At 35.9% G+C, this 19,969-nt stretch overlaps 1 protein-coding gene across 2 annotated transcripts in view, besides 1 other annotated feature; it reads left to right on the forward strand.

Annotated features, from left to right (window-relative positions):
* VRK2 (VRK serine/threonine kinase 2) overlaps nucleotides 1–19,969 on the forward strand; it is a 252,329-nt gene that overhangs the window by 70,727 nt on the left and 161,633 nt on the right. The gene's annotated exons all lie outside the window — the stretch shown is intronic.
* Nucleotides 764–1,371: an enhancer, noted in NCBI's record as "OCT4-NANOG hESC enhancer chr2:58206217-58206824 (GRCh37/hg19 assembly coordinates)". NCBI's record gives its function as "activates a minimal SCP1, AML or CMV promoter by ChIP-STARR-seq in naive H9 embryonic stem cells {active_cell/tissue: H9 hESC(naive)}" and the evidence as "EXISTENCE:reporter gene assay evidence [ECO:0000049][PMID:30033119]".

Raw genomic sequence — 19,969 nt, forward strand, 5'->3', positions numbered from 1 at the left:
ATTACAGTAATTCCTACAAATTCACAGTGTGGGACATAATGCTTTACTTTCGATTTGCCTCATAGCTACATTCTAGATCTCAGCCATGTCCACTTCTAAGCCTTGATAACAGAAGACCTAAAAAGCCAGTCACTTGCTTAATAAACATTTTATGAAATTTAAGTCATTGACATCATAAAATTAAGGCAAGCAGAACAATCTTTATGAAATTTCAAACATGCTGCCAACTTACCATCCCGATCTAAATCATATTGATTGACATATTGGGTGCCACATCACTAGAGACATGGATCATGTGATCCCTCAGGCCAAGTATCTTTTTTTTTTTATATATTGGCTTACTTGATTTGTTTCCTTCCTTCCTTCCTTCTTTCTTTCTTTCTTCCTTTTTCTTTTTCAGCACATGCAGGTTTGTTTCATAGGTATACATGTGTCATGGTGGTTTGCTGCACCTATTGACCTGTCCTCTAAGTTCCCTCCCCTCACCCCCGACCCTACAACAGGCCCTGGTGTATGTTGTTCCCCTCTCCATGTCCATGTGTTCTCAATCTTCAACTCCCAATTATGAGTTAGAACAGGAGGTGTTTGGTTTTCTGTTCCTGTGTTAGTTTGGTGAAGATGATGGCTTCCAGTTTCATCTATGTCCCTGCAAAGGATATGATCTATTGTTTCCTGACTTTTTCTTTTCATAGCTGCATAGTTTTCCATGTGGTATATGTACCATGTTTTCTTTATCCAGTCTATCATTGATGGGCATTTGGGTTGGTTCCATGTCTTTCCTATTGTAAATAGTACTGCAATAAACATACGTGTGCATGTGTTTTTGCAGTAGAATGATTTATATTCCTTTGGGTATATACCCAGTAATGGGATTGCTGGGTCAAATGGTATTTCTGGTTCTAGATCCTTGAGGAATTACCATACTGTCTTCCACAATGGTCGAAGTAATTTACATTCCCACCAACAGTGTAAAAGCATTCCTATTTCTCCATAGCCTGGCCAGCGTCTATTGTTTCCTGACTTTTTACTAATCGCTGTTCTGACTGGCATGCGATGGTATCTCATTGTGGCTTTGATTTGCATGTGAATTAGCTTTTTAATGTGTGCTGCTAGGTTCAATTTGATATTATTTTGTTGAGGATATTGCATCTATGTTCACCAGGGATATTGGCCTGAAATTTTCCTTTTTCATGTGTCTCTGCCAGGTTTGGTATTGGAATGATGTTGGCCTCATAGAATTAGTTAAGGAGGAGTCCCTCCTCCTTGATTTTTTGGAATAATTTAACCCCAGCACTAGCACCCTCTCTTCTTTATATATCTGCTAAAATTCAGTTGTGAATATGTCTGGTCCAGGGATTTCTCTGGTTGGTAAGGTTTTTATTACTAACTCAACTTCAGAACTTGTTATTGGTCTGTTCAGGATTTCAATTTCTTCCTGGTTCAATCTTGGAAGGTTGTGTTTCCAGGAATTTATTCATTTATTTTAGGTTTCCTGGTTTGTGTGCATGGAGGTGTTCATAATAGTCTCTGAGGGTTTTTTGTATTTCTGTAGGATTTGTGGTAATGCTCCCTTTGTCATTTCTGATTATGTTTATTTGGATTCTCTCTCTCTTTTTTTGTTAATCTAGCCAAGAGTCTATAAATCTTATTAATTCTTTCAAAGAACAAATTTTTGGTTTCATTGACTTTTTCCATGAATCTTTGCATCTCAACTTCGTTCAGTTCAGCTTTGATTTTGGTTATTTCTTTTCTGCTACCTTTGGGGTTGGTTTGCTCTTATTTTTCAAGTACCTCTAGATGTGCTGTTAGATCATTAATTTGAGACCTTTCTAACTTCTTGATGTAGGCTTTTAGCACTATAAACTTTTATCTTAACACTGCTTTAGCTGTGTCCTGGAGGTTCTGGTATATTTATCTTTGTTTTCATGAGTTTCAAAGAATTTTTTTTATTTTTGCCCTAATTTCATTCTTTACCCAAAATCATTCAAGAACAGGTTGTTAAATTTCCATGTAATTGTATGGTTTTTGAGAGAACTTCTTGGCATAAATTTTTACTTTTATTGCATTGTGGTCTGAGAGTGTGATTAGTATGATTTTGGTTTTTTTGAATTTGTTGAGAATTGCTTTATAGCAGAGCATGTGGTCAACCTTGGAGTATGTGCTGTGTGCAGATGAAAAAATATATATAAATTCTCTTGTTGGGTGGAGTATTTTGTAGATGTCTCTCAGGGTCATTTGGTCAAATATCAAATTTCGGTACTGAATATCTTTGTAAGTTTTCTGTCCTAATGATTTGTCCAACACTGTCAATTTGTGTTGAAATTTCCACTATTATTGTGTGGTTATGTGTCTCTTCAAGGTCTACAGAAATTTGTTTTATGAATCTGGGTGCTTCAGTGTTGGGTGCATATACATTTAGGATTGTTAAGTCTTCTTGTTTAATTGAACCCTTTATCAATACATAATGCCCTTCTTTGTCCTTTTTGATCATTGTTGGTTTCAAGTCTGTTTTGCCTAAAATAAGAATAGCAACGCTTGCTTTTTTTTTCTTTTCTGTTTGCTTGATAGATCTTTCTCCATCTCTTCACTTTGAGCCTATGGGTGTCATTGCATATGAGACATGACTCTTGAAGACAGTATACAGTTGGGTCTTGCTTCTTTATCCAACTTGCCACTGTGTCTTTTAAGTGAAGCACTTAGCCCACTTACATTCAAAGTTAATATTGACATGTTAGGATTTGATCCTGTCATTGTGTTCTTATTAATAGCTAGTTTTTATGTAGATTTGATTGTATAGTTGCTTTATAATGTCAGTGGGCTATGTACTTAAGTATATTTTTGTGGTGGCAGATATTGGTCTTTCATTTCCATGTTTAGCACTCCCTTAAGGACCTTTCATAAGGCAGCTCTCCCATGGTAATGAATTCCTTAGTATTTGCTGGTCTGAAAAAGGATTCCATTTCTCTTTCACTTATGAAGCTTAGTTTGGCCAGACATGTAATTCCTGGGTGGAACTTCTACCCTGGGTGGGTGGAATGTAGGCCCCAAACTATTCTGGTTTGTAAGGTTTCTGCTGAAAAGTTTGCTGTTAACTTGACACTGTTCCCTTTTTATATTACCTACCCCTTCTCTTTAGCTGCCTTTAAGATTTTTTTATTTCATGTTGACTTTGGAGAATCTGATGATTATGTGTCTTAGGGATGAGTCATCTTGTGTAGTATCTGGCAGGGGTTCCCTGAATTTTATGATTTGCATGCCAACCTCTGTGGTGAGACTGAGGAAGTTTTTGTGGACAATATTCTAAAATACGTTTTCCACATTGCTTGCTTTCTCTCCATCTCTTTCAGGAGTGCCAATGAGTCATAAGTTTGGTTTCTTTACATAATCCCATATTTCTTGGAGATTTTATTCAATTTCCAGAAGTTTAATTTGGTTCTTTTTCAAAATGGCTATGTAATCTTTCAGTTGTTAGGCCATTTTACTGTGGTCCTTGGATTGGGTTTCAACCTTCTTCTGCATGTTGATGAGCTTCCTTGCCATCCAGATTATGAACTCTATGTCTATCATTTCAGCCATTTTAGTCTGGTTAAGAGCAATTGCTGGGGAACTAGTGCAGTCATTTGGAGTAAAGAAAACACTCTGCTTTTTAGAGTTATCAGAGTTCTTGCACTGGTTCCGTCTCATCTGTGTGGGCTGATGTTCCTTTAATCTTTGAAGTTTCTGTCTTTTGGATGGAGCTTTTTGCTTTTATGTTCTTTGATGCCCTTGAGGGTTTGACTGTGGTATAAGTTGGATTTAGTCAATTGGCTTCATTCTGGATGCTTTCAGGGGCCAAGATTCAGCTCAGCACTCCTGGGCTATGTGCTGTAAGCCTGGGGAGCTGGAACCAGGCCTGCAGCTTTGCTCTCTGGCTTCTTCAGGTTAAGCACCTGCTGCACTGGAGGGGCTGAGGTATTCCCAGTTTGCTGGCAACAACACTCTAATGGGGGCTGCTGGCAAAAGTGCTCTGGGCGGAGGGTGGCATTGAGTCCATGCACACACATGTGCACCGGCAGGAGCTGCAGTAGGTCCCTGCATGCAAAAGCACTAGTGTCACTTCACCAAAGTGACTGAAGCAGGCTGTAGGCAGGTGCACACCAGCAGGGGAAGGCTGCAGGCAGGTGCTTGCCAGTGGGGGAAGGCTGCATGCAGGTATGCAATGGCTGTGGGAGGCTGCAGGCTGGTATACATTGGCAGGGATCCACCTGAAAAAGCACTCTGAAGGTTAGGTGGGGTCTGCTGATGAAAGAGCTACAGGAGTGGCCAGTGGCAAGCTGAGGCTGCCCTGCAAGCAGGTGCAGCAAGGCAGGAACCCTAGGAGGGGCTGGCAGATGTGGAGAATAGAGGACACTCAGATCAGACTTACCCTGTCCCACAAGCAAGACAGCCCTGAACTATCCAGGTCTGGCAGCCAGTAAAGGCTACAGCCACCTAGGGCATTACAGTGAACATTGGGGAATGGGCACCAATGGCCATGCTCCAGTGCAGCCGTTCCCACACCAAACCATCAAGGCTCCACACGGGCTAGACTTCTGTCTCTGCCAACTCTCTAGATAGTTCTCCTTGACAGCTCAGATGTCTTTGGGTGTTGTGGAGTCTCCCGCAGCTAGGATCCCAGAGGTCCATGGACCACGCCACACTTACTTCATTCACCCCTTCCCTAGGAGCTGCTCAGGGCCAGAAATGAATCCTGACACTGGGCCACTCTGTCCAGGGTTTCCAACTTCCTCCTTTTTTAGCCCACATTTGTGTCCTCCCTCTGTCCACTCTCAACGCCTTCTTTCCAAACATCTGTTCAGAGTATGCTGATCTACTTGAGGGCCTGGTTTCTCTCGTGGGTGAAGCTCTTCCTGGCTGTATCTAGTCAGCCATCTTGGCTCTCTCTTTCCATCTTTAAAGCCAACAATACTGCATTTCTTTAACCCTTCTTTCATATATACGTCCTCTGACCATAGCCAGGAAAGGTTCTCAGCTTTTAAGGACTCATTTGATTAGATTGGGCCCACCTGGGTAACCTGGGATAACTTTCCCATCTCAAGGTCCACAGCCTTAATCACATCTGCAAAGTTCCTTTTTTTATGTAAGATAACATATTCACAGGTTTCAGAGATTAGGGCATAGAGATACTTGGGATGTCATTATGCTACCACAACCCTGCCAAACTGCCATATAAGTATAAAGAAAATGGGAGGGAAAGGCATAGAAAAAAACTAATAATGGATTCTAGATCGAAAGTATTTGCCTTCCTTTCACATTTTGTGTTTTGGGATTTATTTCTCCTGCTGAAAAGTTTACTGTCAATAAGAGGGAATTAGAGCCTGCAAGGGAGAGTGTATACAATGCTGCACAAAAACATGTTAGAAAATCAAATAAATCTTGGCTGAAATAATGATTACAATAACCATCATGATGAAAATTTGGAGGATTAAACACAGTGATACTTAGTATGACAATAATATTAAAGTCAGTTAGAAAATAGTTGATGAAATAATTGTTTGATCTTTTTTCTTTGATCAATACTTAATATAAAATTAGCCAATCAAAGATAAAGTCATCAATATTGATATAACAGCTTTGAGGGAATTGGATAAGTTAGGAAATGGCAAGATAGGGGGACATCAAAAAAGATCACTGGGGTTCCCATATACTTCCTGCATGGCTGATACTCTAAGCCAGGAGCTCACAAACTTTTTCTATAAAGGGCCACAGAGTAAATATTAAAGACTTTGAGTTTTGTACTGTCTTCATCACAACTACTCAACTCTACAATTGTGGCAATAAAGCAGCCATAGAAAAAGTGCTGATGTATTGTCTAAATTTAATTTTTAGAGCCTTATATTAAATATGAACATCATTGTTCCATATGAATAGTTTTTTTAAAGTGACAATCAAGAACACCTTGATATCACAACCTAACAAAAAAAAAGCAAACAACAATAAAAAACACTGTGCAGTACAACTAAATGTATCACTGAAAATGAGAGGAAAAAAACCCTCTTAGCAAAGTGTTTTAAGTATGTTAAGAGAAAAATACTCAGTGACCAAGTAGGTCATTTCTAGAATCCAAGAGTGGGAAATATGTCAATACAATTTATCTCTGGTAAGAGAAGAAAAACCATATAATTGTATGGATAAGTGCTAAAAGGCATTGTATTTTTAGCTAACTATGGCACACACTTTTAAAAGTTTGATAAAATGCAATCTTCTTACTAAACTAACAAAGGGAAGATCCTTGTTTAACATAATAAAGATGCTTAACTCAACCCAGTATACCTGACACATTGAATTAAATCCTTTTAACATCAGGGGAAAAACATATGCTCAGTACATTGACATTGTCCTTGTAGTTCCAGTCCATCCAATTAGATGAGGACAATAATGAGATATACATTTTGAAAAGAAGAAAAATAAATTATATATTTTTGGTTACTATTACTGTTTACCCCCCAAAAGAAAAACAACTAGAAAGTATTAAAATTATTAAAAGGGATCATTATAAAATAAGCATTTAAAATTCAATAGCTTTCCTTTTAGCAAAAGCAAGCTGGAAGATATAATTAAATAGGAATGAACATTTTTAAAACATAAAAATATATAGAGCATTTAACAACTAAAAAAAAATGTTATGAGGGGGATTAAAAAGTCAACATTAAGTCATTACGCAAATTTGTTATATTATTCTCTGATTTTCTGATCATTTGAGGCATTTCATAAAAAATAAGTCTCTTGCTGAAGTGGATGGATGGAAGATAGATGGATAGAGTGATAAATAGACAAATATTGGGTAAAACTTAATTTAATAGTTAAATTTTGAATTATATTAATATTTGGATTTCTGCAATTCACTAATGCAATCATAAAGTCTAAAGGTTAATGAAATTTTTGTTAAGATGTTCACACATTGCAGCAAGACCTTCCTTGTGATATATTTCTAATATTTAGAGAAAAGGAGGGTAAAACTACAAATATGTAAAAGATCAAAACTTAGAATTAATAAACGTAAAGATTTGACATATTTCTGTGGCTATTTTGTAAATAAAACATTATACACAAATCTGAAATTCGTTAATATTCTCCTCTAATTCCATTCCTTCTCCAGTCCTCCCCAGAGCCAACCACTCTTTTGACATTTTTTGGTTTCCTTATCAAACATGTTTTAATACTGCTCCTATATATATGATATTATATTACATCCTTAAGTTAATAAAGTACATTCACAAGAAACCTACAGCCAACATTATACTTACTGGTGAAACACTGAATGATTTTTCCCTAAGATCAGAACCAAAATAAGGATGTTCTGCTCTCACCAATCCTGTTCAAAATCATACTGAAGGTCATAGCTTCAGTAGGCAAGAAGGCAACAAAAAGAAATAAAAGGCATCCATATTGGAAAATTCAAAATAAAACTGGCACTATTTATGAACAATAGGATTATCATGTAGAAAATCCTAAGGAATCCACTAAAATGCTGCTAGAACTAACAAGCACAAAGAATGCAAAGTCAATATGAAAAAAACCGTATCTTATATATAGTAACAATGAACAATTGCAAATTCAAATAAAACTGTATCATTTACATTAATTAGACATAAATCCAACTAAATATGGACTATATGCTGAAAATTACAAAACCAATGGTAGGAAAAATTAAAGAATACCTTTAGATGTCCGCCTTTGTAACCTACTTAAAAAGATTATGTTCTTATACACCTTGAAGCATAAAGCAGAGCAAGAAATGGAAATTTTACCCTGTGAGTGTTCTACTTGGGAGAGAAGCAGAAAGAAAACTTAAAAACTGGATTCAAGAAAGCAGAAGAATAGTTAACTTGAATCAAGTCATCTCTCTTCTATATTTCTTTAAAAAAAAAAAGAATACCTACATAAGTAGAAAAATATGCCATGCTCATAGGTTGAAAGACATAATGTTGTTAAGATTCAATATTCTTTAAATGTCAGCTTCTTCAAACTGATAGATCTAATATAGATTTTGGACTCAATATAGATTCAATACATTTCCAATCAAAATTCCAGCAAGATTTCTTTATAGAAATCAGCACACTAATTCTGAAATTTATATGGAAAGCCAAGGAATTAGAAAAGTCAAAACAATTTTGAAAAAAGAATAACATTTGAAGACTTATATTACCTGATATCAAGACTATAAAGCCACATATATACATATATTTGCAACAAAAAAGACTTCAGAAATAGACCCACTAATACATAGTTCAATCGATTTTTTTTTTTTTTTTTTTTGAGATGGAGTCTCACTCTGTCTCCCAGGCTGGAGTGCAGTGGCACGATCTCAACTCACTGCAACCTCTGCCTCCCAGGTTCAAGCAATTCTCCCGCCTCAGCCTCCCAAGCAGCTGGGATTACAGGTGCGCACCACCACACCCAGCTAATTTTTGTATTATTAGTAGAGACAGTGTTTTACCATGTTGGCCAGGCTGGTCTCGAACTCCTGACCTGAAGTGATCTGCCTGCCTTGGCCTCCCAAAGTGCTGGGATTACAGGCATAAACCATCGTGCCCAGCCTCAATTGATTTTTGACAATTGATTTTGACAAAAATGCAAAACTAATTGTTAGATAAAGGATAATATTTTTTAAAAATTGTGTTGGAAAAACTGGATATACACATGCAAAAAAATATAAACTTCCTTTCCTACCTCACACCATATACAAAAATTAAATCCAAACGGATGACAGACATAAAAGTAAAACCTGAAACCAGAGAAAACATCCATAGGAAAAAAAATGAAATATCAAAAGCATAAAATATTATAAGAAAAGTTAACAAATTGAACTTTATCAAAATCAAAAAATTCTTCTCTCTGAAGGTGCTTATAATAAAACAACAAACCACAAACCAAGAAAAAAATCTATGCAAATTATGTATCTGATAAAGGACTTGTATCCAGAATATATAAACAACTCTCAAAACTCAGTAAGAAGACAAACAATCCAATAAAAATGGGCAAAACTCTGAACAAATACTTCACAGATGAAAATATACATATGGCAAATATGCACATGAAAAGGTGTTCAAGATCATTAGTAATTAGGGAAAGGTAAATTAAAATTATGAGATACTACTACATACCTATTTGAATAGCTTTAAAAAAAAATAAACTGACATTACCAGTTCCTGATGTGGGTGCAGAAAATCTAGAATCCTCATACATTATTGGTGGGAATGCAAATTGTTATAACCTCTTTGGAAGGTGTTTGGAAGTTTCTAATAAATTAAACATACACGAACCATATGACCCAGAAATTCAGCTCCTGGACACTTATCTACATGAAATAAAAATTTATGTTCACACAAAAACCTATATATGAATATTTGTAGTATATTTATTCAAAATTGCTAAAAGCAATTTATATGTCCCTTGGCTAGGAAATGGGCAAAAAAGATTGTGGAACCTCCATTCAATAAAATACTGCTCAATGAAAAAAGAAAAGCAACTCCTGATACATGTAATGACATAGATGAATCTCAGATGTGTCATGCTGAGTGTGAGATGCTACACTCAAAAAGCTACTACATATACTTAAAAACTTAATTTACAAGGCATTCTGGAAAAGTCAAAACTACTGAGACAGAAAACAGATCAGTTGTTACTAGGGCCTGGGGTTGGGAGGAAAGATTGACCACAAAGCATGGCATGGGAAATTTGTGGGAGTGTTGGAACTGTTCTGTATCTTGATTGTAATGGTGGTGGTTACACAACTGTACATATCTTTGCCAAATCTTGCAGGACTGTATAAAAAAAGGGTGTGTCACTGTAGGTAAATTATAATTAAAAGTTAAAAAAAACTCATTTCATTTTCATACTGTCCTATTCAAGTTTTATGTTTTCTCTTCCATTTTCTCTTTAACATTTTCAAAATATTTATGTTAAAATCTCTTCACATAGTTTTATGATTTCTACTTCTTGAGATATTTTATCTTCAGCAATGAGTCAAGTCCTATGTTGTGGTTTACCAGCAAGTGTAGTCAGTGTGAATTTGAGCTCTGTGATGGCTAATTTTATGTGTCTACATGACTGAGCTAAGATGCCTAGATAGCTAATAAAACATTATTTCTGGGTGTGTCTGTGAGGGTATTTCTGGAAGAGATTAGCATTTGAATCAGTAGACTAAGCATGAAAGATCCACCCTAATCAATATGGGGAGGCATCATCCAATCCATCCAGCATCCAAATTGAATGAAATGGTATTGGAAGGGCAAAGTCTCTTTCTTCTTGAGCTGGAATATCCATCTTATTCTGCCCTAAGGCATTAGAGTTCCTGGTTCTCTGAACTTGGTACTTTGAGACACAGACCGATACCACCTCCACCTACTTCCACCTCTTCCCAGACCTTCAACTCCCCTGGTTCTCAGGCCTTCAGATTTGAACTGAATTACCCCACCAATTTCCCGGTTCCCTGGTGTACAAACAGCATATTGCGGGAATTCACAGCCTCTTTAGTTCTAATTCCCATAATAAGCCTCTTCTATAGCATATGTATTATATTTCTCTGGAGAACCCTGATTAATACAAACCCCATATTTATGCAAAACACAGATTGGGGTTGCACATTCTAGCTCCTAATTTTTCCAACCCAAGATACCTGAAAATACCAATTTCTTCCTATTGCTCCCAGTCTAGCAAACAGAGGGAATTTTTCCCTATTCCCACTTTCCTGAACATAGCAACCCTTACTAGCTCAGTTTCAGTACCCCAATTTGCATGGATCCAATTCCTTATCACCTTCACACATAGCCTCAAGGGTCTGAGACCCCCATGAACCACCCAGCTTCAGTGGTGGCTCACTACTCTGTCTAATTTCAGTCTTTGTTTCTGGCACCAAAGCTTTCCATTTATTGGATTCACATTCAAATATACATTTAAATAATTTTACATTTTTCTAGAATTTCTCTCTTTTTGTGTCCAGAAAGTGATTGGGTGGTATTTTATCTGCTAAGCCTGCCATCTTGACAAAGTCTCACAGCAATATTTCTTAATATAATTCTAATATCACTTCATTATGTTCATACACAAAAAGTGAGTTGGAACATTAAGGTAATTGCTTGGACATTTTGACAAAGAAATGTTTGCCTTAATTTTGTCTTTAATTGGTGATCATATGACTTCAATCTATAAATATTTTGTGGTTTAATAAAAATTTTGTTGTTTTCATAGTGACTGATGATATATTATTTTTAATACATTAGTAATCCACTAGGCAGATTCAAGATCAAATCAATAAAGTGCCACTGATATAATCAATAAACAACTAGGACCTCTTTGTAACTCAGAGCTTAAGAAAATCTGAAAGATAAGCTGAGATGTATAAAGTATTCATATAATAAATGCATTTTTATTTGTTTTAGATAATTCAAACTTGTAAATAGATTCATCCAATTTTAAATAGAAATGATTTAAAACAATGTTTATCTCCTGTTTGTTTTATTATTTTAAGAAAAATATATCTGAAATTAATAATGAATGGCCAAAGGACAGATAAGCTAATAATATTGTATAATAGATCATTCGATTTAGAACATCTAACTGGAAAAGCTGGAAATGAGAAGTTTAAAGTTCAAGGAGGTCTGAAATCTAACAAGCTTAATCAAAGGAAAAGATGTGAAATGTTCACAAAAAGGAGTCTGCAAAGCCACACACAGAAAGATTCTGCTAGTGTTGGAAAAGAATGGCAACTTTTTCCTATTAAGAAAAAATAAAAATAGGTCACATTGTTGACCTTGGCCATCCTCTGGCATAGTCATGTCACAGTCTTAACACAGAGCATAACACAAATGGCCAAAGACTCTCAACATGTGAGAACAATTTCTGAAAAGGGGGTAGGAAATCAATTCATACTAATTTTAACTCCCTCTTGTTTCTGCAAAGGCTTATCTTGATTTCTTCGTGAACTTTAACACTCTTAGTCTCCTTGACACAGTTCAGTCTTTATACAGTTCCCCTTAGACTACAAAAGAGATCACTGGACCATAGACAGTGCAACAGATAAACATGACCTGTCTTGTACTGAAAATGAGTATGTCATACTGAGCTGAAAGAAAAGAATTATTCAGGGTAAATATTGTCCAGATGATAGGACCAGATCACAGGCAGAAATACATTAACGTTTGCCTTTCAAAATGGCACAGCAACTTTTTATACTTATCATCAAAAAGATCATCAGAAAACAGCCCTAAGCCTAATATTGAAGTAAATCTCACTCCAGTGTCACTTGTCTAGTGTTACAGTAGAGCTCACACATATGGAAGCAATCATTCAATCAATTAAAGAGAAGAACTCATTAAATAAAAACTTTTGTCCATTTTTTGCTGAGCACTATTGTGAAAATGAGAGAAGTATATCTTACATTTCAATAATACTTCGTTGTTTAGAAAATACTTTGATAGCTGTTCACATGGGAAAAGACTCAGTATGTAATCTGTTCCTCTTATTTTCCCATTATGATAGTCACACACAGACATACACACACACACACACACACACACACACACATGCACACACACAATTAAACAAAAGTAGAGAACACAAACCATATGTTAAGTTTATGAAGAGTTGGGAATAGGAATTTTATGAATTCCCATGTCCATAGGGATAGATGGGAAAAAAAGACATACTTGAATATTCCAAAATTCACTTCCTGAAAGAGAATGTCAAGAATTGCTTTAAACAAAAAAAAAACTTTAATCTACATCCTATCCTTTGCCTCTAATGTGAACAGATTCTATATTTATCAGTGAACCCATGAGCAGTCTTCAGCTATAAGAGGCAAACCCTCTGAGTGTACCAAATTTTGCTAGTAATTCTCCCCACCATCAGTACCTTTACTTACACATCCATTTAGGAAATTAAGTTTTAAATATTCACTATGATTTTATATCGTAATGTGGTAGCAGTTACATTATTTGTGTGTATTTGCCAAACTCATGGAACTACACTAAAAAAAAGGTAAATATTACTCCATGTAAATTATATTTTAGAAAAAAAAAAAGCGAAAAAGTGGTAACAGGTGGAGGCACTGTCGTGAAGAATCTGGATATAGTTACCCAGGGAAAAGCATTACAAATAGTTGTTTGGACAGATGAATGCTGGTGGGCTAACAAAGTCTAAGGGAAGTAGAGTTTACTCACCCTGTAGCATTTACCGAACCAGGGTCCAAAGAATGTTCATAGACATATAACATTCATGTGTTAGTTCACAGACATTAACATTACTGTTAGTGAACTATTCCCTAGTCTCCTAGTCTAGGTTAGACATCTTAAAAATATCTGATTTTGGCCGGGTGTGGTAGCTCACGCCTGTAATCCCCAGCACTTTGGGAGGCCGAGGCAGGCGGATCACGAGGTCTAGATCGAGACTATCCTGGCCAACATGGTGAAACCCCGTCTCTACTAAAAATACAAAAAAAAAAAAAAAAATTATCTGGGCGTGGTGGCGCACTCCTGTAGTGCCAGCTACTCAGGAGGCTGAGACAGGAGAGTTGCTTGAACTCGGGAGGCGGAGGTTGCAGTGAGCCGAGATCGCGCCACTGCACTCCAGCCTGGCGACAGCATGAGACTCCAACTCAAAAAAAAAAAAAAAATTTGATTTGTAAAGACAAGGCCCAATGTCTTTATTATTTTATCTTCAAGCATCTAGAAGAGTGGTACATTAAAACATATATATCAAAAGCACAGATATATGAATAAACAGGAGATTAATAATAGATAGTTGTATAATCCTAAATTTCTGTCAAAAAACGAAGGTATCAGTCTAGTTTAGGGTGGCAATAATTAGTAGTTAAGTAAAAGTTTATGAAGAGAAGATATTAGGTACCCTGTAACAGCATGTTTTCAATCAGAAGCTAATGGATTCAGTGTTGCCTCAGTAATTACTGCTTTGAGGAGAAATCGTTCTAGAAATCCTCTGTGTTCCATACCATCTCTAATTTTGAAAGCCTGATTAATAGATAGTTTTATGGAGAAATGAGCATTAAAGAATGGGTTGAATTTGAACAGTAAGAAAGAAGGGCATTCCAGAGTAGGGAACATGTACCAAGGTATGACTATCTCAGTTGTTTTACAGTGAAAGAGAAATAAATCAGTAAAGTTAAACATGAGAAATAATGAAAAACTCACAGACTGCTAACAGAATTCAGTGTTGTTTCTTTTTTTTTTTGAGACGGAGTCTCGCTCTGTCGCCCAGGCCGGACTGCGGACTGCAGTGGCGCAATCTCAGCTCACTGCAAGCTCCGCTTCCCGGGTTCACGCCATTCTCCTGCCTCAGCCTCCCGAGTAGCTGGGACTACAGGCGCCCGCCACCGCGCCCGGCTAATTTTTTGTATTTTTAGTAGAGACGGGGTTTCACCTTGTTAGCCAGGATGGTCTCGATCTCCTGACCTCATGATCCAGCCGCCTCGGCCTCCCAAAGTGCTGGGATTACAGGCGTGAGCCACCGCGCCCGGCCAGTGTTGTTTCTTTATGATCACTACATATTGACAACCTAGAGTGGAATAATAGTGTAGTAGTTAAATTCATGCTCTCTACAGCCAAAGTGCCTGCATTCTGATTTCATTTCTGACACCAATTCTCTTGGGTAAAGTTTTTCAACTCTTAGTACCTCGGTTTCCATGCCTAAAAAATAGGCACAATAAAAATACTGATCCTATGAAGTGGTTCTACTGGTTAAATAATTTAATACATGTAAATTACTTAGAAGAGTAACTGGTATATTTTAGTGTTCAGTAAATATTATCACTTAATTTAAGGCCACAAGACATTTCCTGGGAAGGTTAGATACATCTTTCAACATTTAGCAAAATTAAACTCAGTCTTTCCTAAGCCAGAATTATAACAACTTACTTCCACTTTAAGACAGGTTCCAGTACTGTAACACAATCTTATTTAGCTTAGTATGGTACTTAACATCATAAAAGTAAAAGGAAGACTCTAACTCCTCTGAGTATACTCCATGCATTCCCATTGATGGCATTTAAGAATCCCAAGTACAGTTACATTAGAATTAAATTGTGCTAAGCAATGGGTGTGCTAAGCAATGGGTAGCTCCTGAAAGCAATATATCTCTAGAAAAAGCCATGTCCCTGCTCTGCTTTAAAAAAAAAAAAAAGTAGCAAAAACTGTTTTAAAATGCTAAAAACTTCATTTAAATCGCATTGCACATGAGCCATTGGCTTTGTTTGTTGCCTTGAACTAGATTCATTCAAAGAAGTAACTGAAATATTAATTTGATCTGTGATTTGGAAAATGTTTCTCAATAAAAATATTCAAAAGCCTGACTGCTTCTCAGCTCTCAGATGAATTAAGTTTTAACTCTGACATGAATTGAACCTCTCTCTGGGGATGCTTCTCTTTAGGGGGCTGAGATCACAGAGTTCATCCTTATGGCACTAGCAGCTCTTTGATTTTTGTCAGGAGGCCTGCCACCAGAGCGCAATGCATAGCAACATCAGGGTATGTCTCCCATGTTCCCTAATGAAAAGCTAGCCTGGAGACAGGGGCAGGTTGGAGGGTAAATTTCAAAGAGGGGAAAGGTCAGTTCTTGGTCAAAGTATGAAGAGCTTATGAAAGAAAGAAAACTTCGAAAATAAAGCATTAACATAAATTACTGAAAACAGCCTTTCAAGTCTTATAGAAAAAGATGAAGCAATGCTACCATGATAAAGGCTCCCCTTTTTAAAGGATGTCTCCATCTTTGTCCTCTTCTTATTACTTCAGAAAATTATCAGAAATGTCGATGGATGCTTCTATTTGAGTTTCTTAAAGAAAACTTTATGGTCATTGAAATTTAAAAGATCCCACCTCTTTAAATCAGAAAGGTGTAAGGTCATGGTTAGCTTTCTGGGAAGAAAATAAAATCTGTAACTTTGCCAGGAGAACAGCCTTTACTAATGGAGAGGGAAATGGTAAAATTGACATAACATTATAACATAAACTGTGTAAGTTTAAAGAGATAGGGACATCCATCAGTGTCAATAATCTGGTAAATTTAATGATCTATAAGTAAACTAGGTAATTATTTTTCCAAAATGAAGGTTTTTGGGGACCTAAAACATCTACTGTCTACACAGTTCAAAGGAATAAAATAACTGGCCAATCTCCATTTCCACTACTGATCCACTGGAATGAATAACAGAAGAACAAAAATACTCTGAAAGATCGAGAAACAAAAACTCAGCTAGGCATAAGGAATATGGCAAATACTTCAGGTCTTTGCAGGCAAGAAGTCAATACCAGCCGTTCCCAAATTATTGAGTTTTGGTCTCAGGGCCCCCTTGGACTCATAAAAATTATTAAAGATCCCAAAGACCATTTGTTTATATGGATTATATCTTTCAATATTTGCTATTTTACAAATTAAACCTGAAAAAAAAACATTTTTTAGTTCACTTTGCAAAAAACAATAAACTCATTATATGTTAACATAAACAACATTGATTTTTATCAAAAATTCCTATATTTTCCCAAACAAAAAAAATTAATGAGAATGACATTATCTTACACTTTTGAAAATCGCTTTTAATGTCTAGTTTAGTAAAGACAGCTGAATTTTGTTTCTGTATTCAATTTGTTGTGATATCTTCCCTGTGATTAAAAATATCAAGAAAATATGTTCTTATACAGAAATTTAATAGGAAAGGGAAAAAGTATTTTAATAGTCTTTTCAGACAAATTTAGGTGTTCTTCTTTGGTACTACAATGATACATGACAAGTGGCAGTTTCTGTAAGGTTAGTTGCAATGTGGACTCTGAGATCATATCAGTGAATTTTCCATACACTGTTATATTGAAATGAATGGGTCAATGTTAAATTTTGAATGGCTCTTTCACCCATCTATGATTTATATCATCATGCACTAGTCGTTTGGAAAATAATGGCTCACTGAGTTATGTAGATCCTCCATTACAAAATACATTTTAAAAATCACATTGATTAATATCACCACCAATCTCAATAGAAAATAACTATTGAGAAGCTGTCAAGCTCACAGTAGTGGATACAAATTTTCCAAAAACTTATTTTTTCTCGAAAGCTCAAATTTTATTATTGGCAACAAATACTGTGAGTTGTTTTCCTTGAAGCAATAGTTTCATTTCATTCATTATCAAGAAAAAATATTGCCAAATATCCAATTCTACATCATCACAGTTTGTCAGTCATTCTTTCAAATAAAAATGATATGCCGTGAAAAAAGATGTCTAGTTCAGCTCATTTCTCAAATAACTGTATAAGTGCTTTTTCTCAAGGCTTACTCTGTTTGAGTGTGCAGCAAAAGTGCTTTATGAGTACTTCCTGTCTTGTCACACAGAATATTGAAAAACTAGTACTCAAGCATCCAGATTTAATCAAAATAATAAGTGTTACTTTTTCATCAAGAACATTCTATGTGAAACTGCTTTTCTTTCTTTTTTACTGTGAGTCCACTTTGGTACTACTGCCTGGATTTATGCTAAGGTGCCAGCACTTTTACCCACCATTGCTTTTGCACCATCAGTGCAAATGTCAACACAAAGAAATAAGCAAAGTGCACTCAGTCTTCTGTATCTATTGGTTCTGCATCACAAGATTTCAACCAATCATGGATTGAAAATATTTGGAAAAAACAATACAAGAATAACAAATAATACAAATAAAAACAATACAGTGCAACAACTATTTATAAAACATTTACATTGCATTAGGTATTATAAGTAACCTAGAGCATACGGGTGATGTGCATAAGTTATATGCAAATACTATGCCATTTTATACAAGGGACTTAAACATCCAACAGATTTTCATATCCTTGGGGGATAAGGAGACAGAGTTGAGGATGGGGGTGTCCTGGAACCAATCTCTTGCAGAAACCGAGGGATGACTATAATGCCTTAGTGTTATTATAAAAATATTTTTCAGTTCACATACTCCCTGAAATGGTTCTGTAGACATCCAGAGATCCACAGACCATATTCTGAAAACTGACAAAATAAAGAAGAGTTGGTTAACGCCCAAGGAATAAGCAAGAACTGTGAGAGTCTGAGTAAGAAGCAGGGCCAATCTCTGACCAGAGCCAAGGGCTCCTCTAATGATTGCACTTGTAAATTAGAAGGGAAATCTCTGTACTATAGGTATTGGTCATATCCTGAAGGAAGTCAAACATGCGCAGTCAACCTTTTTTAAACTCATGTCTTGAGGAGAATATAGAGAATTGGTTACAACTGATTGGATACAACTGTATTCACAAGGTTAAGAATAATTTCAGTCAAAATTAGAACAGGAAGTCTCTAGACTTTAGAAGTAATGTCATCCAAAAAAGAGAAAGATTGTTATTATTATACTATTTTTTATTATATTTTTTCCAATATTTTTGAAAGATTCTAAGATGTATAAGTCCCTTGTATAAAATGGCATGGTATTTGCATATAACCTATGTAGATCCCCCATATGTTTTAAATTATCTCTAGATTATTTATAATACCTAATGAAATGTAAATGCTATATAAATAGTTGTTGCACCATATTGTTTTCATTTTTTTTCCTGTTGTACTTTTTTTATTATATTTTTTCCAAAAATTTTGGAAAGATTCATTCAATAGGTAGAATGAGTAAAAAGCTAGGGATATGATCAAATGGCTAATGTGTTGCTTACCTTAACAAGGAAAGAAAGATGAATCCAGATATAAAAGAAAAACAAAAACCAGACAAGAAATTCTGATCCAAATAAGAAGCAAATTCAGTAAGGCATGATTTTGAGTCATTGATGGAAAGAAAAAATAGATAATCGATTTTGTCTGATGCCAGGAAATTTCTCCTTTGAGTTGCTCAGGGATTTTGACTCTGGATTTGTAGAGAAGGAAATATTTACATAGTTATAATGATAACTAGATCTAGATATAATTAGCCAATAGACAAGATTTCAATATGGCTTCAGAAAAACATGTAAATATTACCAATATTGGAGATGCCAAGCAGAAAAGATGGGAAGAAATGGTAGAAGGCCTAAGAATATCCTCAGTGATGGGGAGTTGAGAGATGCAATAAGATCAATAAGAAACACAGGGAAACTACTATGCATTGAAGTGACGGATTATTTTAAGTTACAAAGTTAAAGTTAAAAGACATTTTTTAAATCATGCAACTGTCTTAAATTGGGAAACATAAGAGGGACAGGTATTGTGAATGAGCTAAATTTTTTTAGATATGCTGAGTCAATAGATAATGCTTAAATGTGTTAAATCAAGAAACTGGGATGCAGGCCAGGCATAGTGGCTCACACCTGTAATCCCGGCAGTTTGGGAAGCTGAAGTGGACAGATCGCTTGAGCTCAGCAGTTTGAGACCAGCCTGGGCAACATGGTGAAACACCGTCTCTACAAAAATTAGCCAGGCAATGGTGGGGTGCGCCTGTGGTCCCAGCTACTCAGGAGGCTGAAGTGGGTGGGAGTCAGGCTTGAGTTCCGAAGGCAGAGGTTGCAGTGAACCAAGACCGCACTACTGCACTCCAGACTGGATGACAGAGGAAGACACTCAAAAAGAAAAAAAAAAGAAAAAAAAGGAGGAAAAAAGAAAGAAATTAGGATATAAATTGTATTAGTCAAACAGCTTTAATATTTGATAACTATTATGACATAGACACATAATGATCAGAACACAAGTCTATATTCAGAATGGATGCTGACTGGGACATACTGGCTACATATCACCTCTGTTTTTAAAAAAGAATTAGGGAAGTAATAACTGAAGGAAATAAAGACAGGAACAAGCCAAAAGGTGGGCAGGGTTGAGCGGAACTGTTGCTTTTTATTAAAAGCCTTTCTGCCCTGTTTTAATTGTTACTATATGCAAGTATTACTATGATAAGTAATCGTAAATTATGAGTATCATGTTTCCACCCTATCCATAATTAGCACTGTTTAAAAACT

Source organism: Homo sapiens, chromosome 2, assembly GCF_000001405.40.
Source record: "Homo sapiens chromosome 2, GRCh38.p14 Primary Assembly".
In the NCBI taxonomy this organism is placed as follows: Eukaryota; Metazoa; Chordata; class Mammalia; order Primates; family Hominidae; genus Homo; species Homo sapiens.